Below are 10,465 nucleotides of genomic sequence, written 5' to 3'. Positions count from 1 at the left end.
TGCTGTTGTTGTTCAGTTTCACAGACATGCCCAGAAAACCTATTCGGTTTATCAGATTATCTTGCCCCTGCCTTCAGAGAGCTTAGAGTTCTATGAGGCAGACAGATGTGGACACCTTCTCCCCACCACCAAATGGGTAAGGTCATAGGGCTGGTTGGTGCAGGAGGCTGCTGGTCCTCAGAGGAGGGCTCCCAGCCCCAATCCAGCAGGGCTTCTTGGAAGAGGATGCATCTGTATTCACAACCAAACAACACAGTGGGTCATCAGCATCTGGGTGGAAAAACCTAGGAGAGAGAAAAGGTCTGGAAAACTCTTAAAGGATCCCAAGGGCCCCTCAGGCAGGGCTTGTAGGCAGCTCACTCTATTTGGCTCATGTTTTCTCGGTGAATTCCAAGCTAGCAATGAAAAGAGGGATTCCAGGAACCTCAGTGAAATGGCTCATCAGGAAGTTTGGTCCCAAGAGAAGGGTGGACAAACTGGAAGGACACACACACAATCCTCAAAATAACCACAGGGGCCAGAACAGTGGCTCATGCCTGTAATCCCAGTACTTTGGGGGGCCAAGGTGGGTGGATCACTTGAGCCCAGGAGTTGCAGACTGGCCTGGGCAAGACAGCAAAACCCTGTTTCTACAAAAAATACAAAAATTAGCTGGGCATGGTGGCACACGCCTGTAGTCCCAGATACTTGGGAGGCTGAGGTGGGAGAATCACTTGAGCCCAGGAGGTTGAGGCTGTAGTACGCCATGATTGCACCACTGCACTTTAGCCTGGGCATAAGACCGAGACCCTATCTCAAAAAAAAAAAAAAATGCCCACAGGACCCAGGAAATTACTCTATCAGAAGCTATCCCAATACATATGCTGGGTTAATGACTTTGGACATCAAGAAAAGCGAAAAGCCAAGGTTGTCAATCCTGGCTGTGCATTAGAGTCACCTGGAGTGGGCTGGGCGTGGCGGCTCACACCTGTAATCCTAGCACAGTGTTCTGGGCATTGGGATGTGATCCTCACACTCAAAAAGCTCATTGGCTCTCACCTGTAATCCCAGCACTTTAAGAGGCTGAGGCCAGTGGATCACCTGAGGTCAGGAGTTCAAGACCAGCCTGACCAACATGATGAAACCCTATCCCTACTAAAAATACAAAAATTTAGCCGGGCATGGTGATGCATGCCTGTAATCCCAGCTACTTGGGAGGCTGAGGCAGGAGAATCACTTGAACCCAAGAGGCAGAGGTTGCAGTGAGCCAAGATTGTGCCATTGCACTCTAGCCTGGGCAACAGAGTGAGACTCTGTCAAAAAGAAAGAAAGGGAGAGAGAAAGAGAGAAAGGAAACAAAAAAGAAAGAAAGAGAGACAGAGAGACGAAAGAAAGAAAGAAAGAAAGAAAGAAAGAAAGAAAGAAAGAAAGAAGCTGGCTGTGGTGGCTCACACCTGTAATCCCAGCACTTTGGGAGGCCGAGGCGGGTGGATCATGAGGTCAGGAGTTCAAGATCAGCCTGGACAACATGGCGAAACCCCGTCTCTACTAAAAACTACAAAAATTAGCTGGGCGTGGTGGCACGCACCTGTGGTTCCGGCTACTCAGGAGGCTGAGGCAGAAGAATCGCTTGAACCTGGGAGGTGGAGGTTGCAGTGAGCCGCAATTGTGTAACTGCACTCCAGCCTGGGCAACAGGGCAAGACTCTGTCAAAAAAGAAAGCAAGAAAGAGAGAGAGAGAGAGAAAGAAAGAAAGAAAGAGAGAGAGAGAGAAAGAAAAAGAAAGAGACAGAAAGAAAGAAAAAGGAAGGAAGAAGGAAGGAAAGAAAGAAAGAAGGAAAGAAAGAAAGAAAGAAAGGAAAGAAAGAAAGAAAGAAGGGAATCACCTGGAGTGGTTAAAAAATGCACATGCCCCTACCCCACCTCAATTAATGAGACTCTCTGTGGCTGGGGCTAGGGTATCCAGGTGATTCTGACACCAGGGTAGAGATCCACTGGCTTAAAGCATCACTCAGGGTCTCCCAGTGAAGAAGGCAGGGCAGTGTGCAAGATGGTATGGAAACATGTTTCAACAGAGATGGTTAAACTAAGGCAAGTTGTCTATTTAAAAGTTCAACTTCAGTTATCCAAGAAGTTCAGCTTTGCAAAACAGATCAAGGAAGCAGGCTGCAGAAAGGAGAGGATGGAAGCTAGGGACTGGCAAGAGAAAGATCCCCGCTCTGCCACTTGCCTACCTGCCCAAAGTGGTTCTGGACTTAGGGCAAGTTACTGAACATCTCTGAGCCCGTTTCCTCATCTGTAAAATGAGGACAATCATGGTGTCAGGCCCAGACTTTGACTATTAGTTAAAATGAAGTAAAGAAGTGCCCATTGTTCAATAAATATTAATTCCCATCCTCTGACCCAGAAGGTTCCAGATACATGAAGGCATCATTGTGCAAGAGATGGACTTTAATGGCCCTTGACATTTTTACATAGTGACTTACCATTTTTAGAGGAAAATATCCAGTTCATAGGTAAGTCATTCCCGGGCGAATGGTAGGCAGACATTGACTCAGGGGAAAGCTATGTATATTCCTAGAAGAAGAGCTAGATCCTGGAAATGACAGGGAGTTTCAACAACCCTGGAGTCTTTTGATTTCCCAACCATCCATAGAGGCTTGTCTTTACTAAAAGACAAAACCAGGCTTTAGGATGTTTCATTTCCTCTTGTTGGACCATCATCCCATCACCAAACAGACATTTAGAGGATGCGGCTCTGCATCAGGCCCTGTTCTGGGCATTGGGATGTGATCCTCACGCTCAAAAAGCTCATTGGCTCATGCCTGTAATCCCAGCACTTTAAGAGGCTGAGGCGAGTGGATTACCTGAGGTCAGGAGTTCAAGACCAGCCTGACCAACATGATGAAACACTGTTTCTACTAAAAGTACAAAAAATTAGCCGGGCATGGTGGTGGATGCCTGTAATCCCAGCTACTTGGGAGGCTGAGGCAGAAGAATCACTTGAACCCAAGAGGCGGAGGTTGTAGTGAGCCAAAATCACGCCATTGCACTCTAGCCTAGGCAATAGAGTGAGACTTTGTCTCAAGAAAAAGAAAGAAAGAAAGGAAAAAAAAAAAAAAGCTCCTCGTCTAGTGGAAAGCCTGACTTTAGTATCCTCTGGGGTGGGGGTGGCGGGGGCAGGCAGTTAGAGGAAAGAGTGGTGGCCCAGGGGCACCAATGGGTTTCTATGGCTCTCCATCTCTCCCTAGAGTCTCGGCTCTCCCACGAATGCAACTGCTGCCCCAGCCTGTACTGGCCTCCTTTCGTTTTCCCATCTGTAAAATGCAGTAGTGAGCCAGACAGAAGTGAATTCAATGATCTCTGCATGGAGAATTTTGGGAAATGTAATGAGTCCTATGGCCTCCACTCATGTTTTAATTATAGATGGACAGCAAGCTCTGTTGGCAAAAATTTCACAACAGGCCCTGGACCCATCTGGCTTTTCCTCTGCGTGGGGTACAAGTGGAGCAATGATAGATGATTGTCATGTGATATAAGAAGAACCTCCTTCCTCACAGACCTTCTTTCTCATCTCCGCTCCACCTCAGTACTGTGCCACGCTGCCTTGCAGGGTGAGCCCCAGACTGGGCTCTGCCTCTTCCCACCAAGACTTCAGTCTCTAGCTGAAAAATGGCCATAAGCCCTCCTGTGTAATGTGCTGCTGGGGTGCTGGAAAGAGCAGAGAGCAGCGACACGGGGGCTCACCTGGGCCTAGTAGAGCCTGGCCTCCACCCTCTGGGGATTCTAGATTTGCATCGGACAGTTTGGTCTGAGAGGCCAGCTTGGCCCAAGCGAGAAGAATGTCACCCTGTTTCTGGGTGCATTTGAGAGCAGCTTTGTGACAGGAGCTGATGATCTCCATGACAAATGAGTCCCTAAATGAATCCTCGCATCATGGAGTTGAGTGTTTTTTGTTAGCCCCCAGAGGAAGGGAGGGAAGAGAGATGGAGGCTGAGGAAGGACACAGAGAAGCGCCCAGCAGGCCTCTCACCAGCACCCCTGCCTCCTTCCTGGCTCCTTTCTTTCCTTCCACCCATGTTTGCTAAGCTCCCAGTGTGTGCTGGGCCCTGCGCTGGCTCATAGACCTCAGGGATGAAGCATCCACAGTCTCTGCTGCCCAGCAGACAGGAAGAGAGAAGCCCAGTGTGATCAGTGCTGCAACGGAGGGGAGCCCGGGAGACTGTGGGGACTCAGAGGCGGGCTCTGACCTGTCCTGGCGGGTAGGGGGTGGCAGGGAAGGCGTTCTAGGGAAAGCTTGCAGGACGAGTCCACCCAGTGGAAGACAGCACTCCTGAAAGAGGGAGAACCACCGGCACAAGCAGAGGATGGAAGCAAAGCTTTGGGGACTGGAGCGCGGGAGGTAGGGGTGCAGGGTGGTGGAGACCACAGCCGGAGGGATCAGCAGGAGCAAGAGCCCAAATGGCCTCGAGTCCCAAGCTGGGAGCTCAGACACTCTTCAGAGGCCCGAGAGTAAGCCAGGGCAGGGTTTTTCCAGGGAAGGATGGCTGGGCTAACTGGAGGAGAGTGGATTGAAGAGGATGGACCGGGGGGCAGGGGGTTGGTGGGAGGGCCCCCTGATTACTCGTGTTGCTTTCTTCACTCTCTCGGAGAGTGCATCTTGAGGGCCTGCTCGTCTCTCACCACGCATCAGCTGGTCAGCCCCTCCTGGGGCTGGGCACTGGCTCAGGAGCGAGCTGCAAAGCGCAGGCCTGCACTCCACAAAGCTTCCTTTGTGATGAACCCGGGTCGCAGGGGCATGGTGCTCTGCTGCCCTCTAGCGAGGGCTGGGTATGCGCCCTGCGGGGCCCAGCCGGCTGCTAAGGTCCCTGCAGGCCTTCCATCTGTCCTATCCTCAATCGCGTCAGGAGAAGTGGAGACTTACTGCTCCTGAGGAAGGAATGCAGTCTGCAGACAAAAACAGGGTGAAGAGGAGAGGGGGTACACAGAGGAACTCAGCCCTAGCTGTGGGAACAGGGAGCACCGTGGTCAATGGGGGTGCCGCTGGCTGGGAGCCCAGTTTAACAGCTTTAGTTTCCTGGAATGAATAAGCCCAGACTCCGAAGGATGGAAGCGTGGTAATAGTGATGATGGTGGTGGTCACGGTAGAGATTTTGATGATGCTGGTGACAGTGGTTGCAGTGACCAAATGACTATGGCGTCTGCTGGTTACATAGGTATTGGTGGTGATGGTTGAGTTTTGGTAATGGTGGTGATGGCGTTATGGTGATAGTGGTGGTAATGATGAGGATGATGGAAGTAGAAACAGTGGTGGTGGTGATGAAGGAGGTGGCTAAACAGCTACTATGAACAGTCTCATATATGTCTTTTTTTCTTTTCTTTTTTCTTTTTTTAGACTGGATCTCACTCTGTTGCCTAGGCTGGAGTGCGGTGGTACCATCTCGGTTCACGGCAGCCTCAACGTCTGGGCTCAAGTGGTCTTCCCACTTCAGCCTCCTCACCCAGCTAATTTTTGTAATTTTTGTAGAGATGGGGTTTCACCGTGTTGCCCAGGCTGGTCTTGAACTCCTGGCTCAAGTGATCCTCCTGCCTCAGCCACCAAAAGTGCCGGGATTACAGATGAGAAGCACCATGCCCAGTCTCATATATGTCTTTTGTTGGATATTTGAACTCATTTCTCTTAGGCAGAGACCTAAGTGGAATTGCTAGATCATGGGATAGGGATTTGTTTAGCTTTAGTAGATACTGCAAAATTGTTTTCTGAAAATGGTTCACAAACAGTACTGCCTGTCTTTTTAATTGTATTCATTTCATTCTGGTATGTGTGTACTTGTATCTCACTATGGTTTTCATTTAATTTCCCTGGTGACTAATTATGTTGGGCAATTTTCATATGTTTATTAAATATTTGGATATCATATTTTGCAAAATGCCAGTTCAAATCTTTTGGTCAGTTTTAAGTTGAGTTGTTAGTCTTTTTCTTACTGGCTTGTAGAAGCTCTGTATATATTCTGGATAGAAGTCCTTTGTCAGATATGTGTATTGCAAATAACTTTTCCCAGTCTGGTTTGCTTTTTTACCTCTTAAATGCAATCTTCTGATGAACAGTTTTTCATTTCAATGTGGTCCAATACATCAATAGTTTTTATGTTTAGTGCTTTTTTGTGACTTGTTTAGGAAACTTTTGTCTACTGTCAATGTCAGGAAGATATTATCTAGATTTTCTTCTAAATGTAGATCCATCATTAATTTTAAATTAATATTGTGAATGATGTAAGGTATGAAATCAAGGATTTTTTTCTTTCCCTAAATGGATATCCAATTAATCCAGCCCAATTGATTGAAAAGAACAATATTCTCACAACTGAGGGCAGCGCTTCCTTTGTCATAAATCAAGTGATGCATATGGATGGATGCGTTGCTGGAGGCTGTTCTGTTCCATTTGCTGGTCTTTGCACCAATACCACACTGTCTTGATTATTGTAGCTTTACATTAAGTCTTGGTATCTGGTAGTATAAGTCCTCCAACTTTGCTCTTCTCCATTATTATCTTGGCTATTGTAGTCTTTCGCATTTTCATATAAATTTTAGAATCAGCTTGTCAATTTTCATTTTTAAAAGTTCCTGCTGGGATATTGATTGGGACTGCATTGAATCTACATATGTCAGTTGCAGAAAAGTAACATCTTCACAATACTCTATCTTCTAATTCATAAACATAGTAATTATCTCCTTTTATTCAGGTCTTCCTAAATAACAGCAATGTTTTGCTATTTTCACATTTTATTTCAAATGCCTTTTATTAAATTTATCTCTAAGACATTGTGTTTTTTGATGCTGCTCTAAATGTTAAAATTTTAATTTCCAATTGTGTATTTTATATGTAATTAGCAAGTAATATATAATATATGCATATTGACATTGTATCAGAGACTTTGGAGATTCTTAAGAATTTTCTATATACCTATACATCTGTGTATGTATGTATGCTGTGAAAAATGACAGTCTTATTAACTTAATTCTTTCTTTCCAGTTTCTACATACATTGCTGCCTTACTGTACTAGGATGATGGTAAGAGAAGAGGAAGTTATTTTTATTATTAAATATGATGTTACCTGTAAGCTTTTTTTGGTAAAGAACCTTTATTCAATTAATAAATTTCCATCGTATTTCTAGTTTGTTGAAAGCTTTTATTTTTATCATAAGCAAGTGTTAAATTTTACCAAATGTCTTTTCTGTATTTATTGAGATGACCATTTGATTTTCTCCTTTATTCTATCAATGTGTTGAATTACACTGATTGACTTTCAAATGTTCAAGCAACTTTTGAGTTACTGGACTAAATCCACATGTATTACGCATTTTCTGTATTGCTGAAATGATTGGCCAGTAATTATTTGGAATCTTAACAATTGTGCTCAGGAGAACTAATGGCCGGCAGTTTTCTTTTCTTATTATGTCATTGTAAGGATCAGATATCAGGGTTAGGCTGGCCTCATTTTTTTAAAAATGAATTTGGAAATTCTCCCTCTGGCTCTGTTGATGACATTTTGTCTAAGATTCATTTCATTACTTCCTTAAGTGTTTGGAAGATTCCCCGGTGAAGCCATCCATGCTAAGTGTTTCCTTTGCGGGGAGGTTTTTAATTACAAATTCAACTTGTTTAACAGATATAAAACGATTCAGATATCCTACTCTTTTCTCTTATGCATTTTAGGAGATTGAGATTTTTAAGTGATTTGTTCATGAATTCACAAACATGGTCAAGTTCAGGTTTATTGACATAAAGTTACTCATAATATCCTCTTATTATTCTTTTAATATCTGTAGGATCGGTAGGAAAGTCCCTTTTTTATTTCTGATATTTGTACTTGGCATTTTCTCTTTTTATTTTCTTTCTTAGTTTGTTAAGCATTTATACAAGTTATTGATCTCATCAAAGAAACAAGTTTTGGCTATTGTATGTCAGCTATGGGTTTCATTCATTTCTGCTATTAGCTGCATAATTTCTTTCCCTCTTTGTTTAGGTGTAATGTGCTATTCTTTTTCTGGTTTTCTAAGATGGAAACTTCAGTGACTGATTTTTCAATCTTTTTTTTCTTTTCTAATATAAGCAGAGCTTATGCATTTCTTCTCAGCGTTGCTTAACTACATAGTTTACTTCCCTTATTGTTAATTTCAAAATATTTTCTAATAACCATCATGATTTATTCTTTGATCCAGAGGTCATTTAGAAGTATTTTTGTTGGATTTCCAATTATTTGGCAGCGGGGGAGGGGGGCGGATTTTCTAGTTACCTTTCCCTCACTGATTCTAGGTTGATTCCTCTATGGTCAGAGAACATACTCAATATTATTTCGATCACTCGAAATTGTTGAGGCTGGCTTTACAGCCCAACATCTATTTTGGAAAATGTTTCATGTGCATTTGAACGTGTATTCTGCAATTATTGGGTATAGTATTTTGTCTATGTCATTTAGATCAAGTTGGGTAACAGTGTTGTTCAAATCTTCTATATTTTTACTAAATTTTTACCTGTTGTTCTTTAGTTACAGAGAAAGTTAGGTTGAGATTAGCATCTATGGTGGTGAATTTGTCTATTCCTTCTGGCAGTTCAGTTATTAGATGAATACAATTTAAGATTATTATGTCTTCCTGTTGAATCACATAATATAATAAAATGCTTCGCAGTGTCTCTATTGATGCTTCTTGCATTAGAGTCCATTTCGTCTGATGTTAATGTGGCTGTACTGCTTTCTTTTGGTTAGGGCTGGTGTGATATAACTTTCTATTCTTTCATTTTCAATTGTTTCTTTTCTTAAATTTGAAGTTGGCTTTCATTTTTTTCAATATAGAAACATTTTGTTTCTTGTATCCAGTCTGACAATGTTTGTCTTTTATTTGAAGTGTCCAGCCCATGTACAATTAATATACTTGCTGATATAATTGGGTTTAATTGTATCTTGTTATTTGTTTCTTATTTGTTCCATTTATTCTTTGTGACTTTCTTTCTTTCTTTGTTTTTTTTTTTTTTTTTTTTTTTTTTTTTTTGAGATGGGGTCTTACTCTGTTGCTCAGGCTGGAGTGCAGTGGCACGATCACGGCTCACTGCAGCCTTGACCTGGGCTCAGGCGATCCTCCCACCTCAGCCTCCCAAGTAGCTGGGACTACAGTCCTGTGCCACCATACTCAGCTGATTTTTGTATTTTTTGTAGAGATGGCTTTTTTCCATGTTGCCCAGGCTGCTCTTGAACTCCTGGGCTCAAGCAATCCACCTGTCTCAGCCTCCCAAAATGCTAGGATTACAGGTGTGAGCTACCGTACCCGACATCTTTGTGACTTTATATCTCATTTTTTGTCTTCTTTTGAATCAGTCAAGTAGTTTTAATTCATTTTTCTCTATTAGCTTCTTAGTTTTAACTCTTGTTTTTGTGATAGTTACCTTAAAGATGTCACTATACATCCCTGAACTACTACAGTCTACCTTAAGTTAGTACTTTTATCACTTCCCAAACAATTGAAGAACCAATGCTACAATTCTATGGTTTAACTCCATTCACTCCACTTATCCTTTATTCTAGTGTAATGTCTGTTTGCTTCTATATATATTATAATGGTAGCAAAAAGTTAGTGTTACTTTCTTTTAAACAGTCAAAATGATTCTTTTTTTTTGAGACAAAGCCTTACTCTGTCACCCGGACTGGAGTACAGTGGCATGATCTCGGCCCACAGCAACCTCCACCACCTGGGTTCAAGTAATTCTCCCGCCTCAGCCTCCCTAGTAGCTGGTATTCCAGGCGCCCACCACCATGCCCGGCTAATTTTTGTATTTTTAGTAGAGACAGGGTTTCACCATGTTGGCCAGACTGATCTTGAACTCCTGACCCCAGGTGATCCACCCCCCTCAGCCTCCCAAAGTGCTGGGATTACAGGCATGAGCCACCGTGCCTGGCCTCAAAATGATTTTATATACATCCTATATTTATTCTTTCTCATGCTCTTTATTTTTTCCTTGAGCTCTATCTCATTCAACATATAAAAATTTCCTTCAGTATTTCTTGTAGTGATGATCAACTGGAGGTGAATTTCTCAGCTTCTGTTTGTTCAAAAATGTCTATTTTACCTACATTTGTGAAGGATACTTTTGCTAGACATATAATTCCAGGTTGATTTTTGTTTTTTAATCTCAGCATTTTAAAGATACACTGTCTATTGTCTGTTGGCATCCATAGTTTCTATTCAAAAGTAGTTGTCAGTCTTCTTATTGCTACTTTGAAGGCTATGGTTTTTTCCCTAAGGCTGCTTTTATGGTTTCTTCTTTGTCTTTGGTTTTCAGCAGCTTAAGATGTGCTAGATATTTCTTTATATTTAATCTTTAAAGTGGGCTACAAGGTTGCACATAACCAGGCTCCTATTAACTTTATAATCTTTTTCTTTTTTTTTTTTTTTTTTGAGATGGAGTCTTGCTTTGTCACCCAGGCTGGA

The 10,465-nt window shown here is 42.8% G+C and overlaps 1 annotated feature.

Annotated features, from left to right (window-relative positions):
• Positions 4,780-4,869: a silencer, noted in NCBI's record as "silent region_20208". NCBI's record gives its function as "represses an Ori minimal core promoter by ATAC-STARR-seq in GM12878 lymphoblastoid cells {active_cell/tissue: GM12878}" and the evidence as "EXISTENCE:reporter gene assay evidence [ECO:0000049][PMID:35858748]".

Source organism: Homo sapiens, chromosome 9, assembly GCF_000001405.40.
Source record: "Homo sapiens chromosome 9, GRCh38.p14 Primary Assembly".
Taxonomy (NCBI): Eukaryota; Metazoa; Chordata; class Mammalia; order Primates; family Hominidae; genus Homo; species Homo sapiens.
Note: the sequence above shows the minus strand (reverse complement) of the source record. Positions and strands in the feature narration are given on the sequence as shown.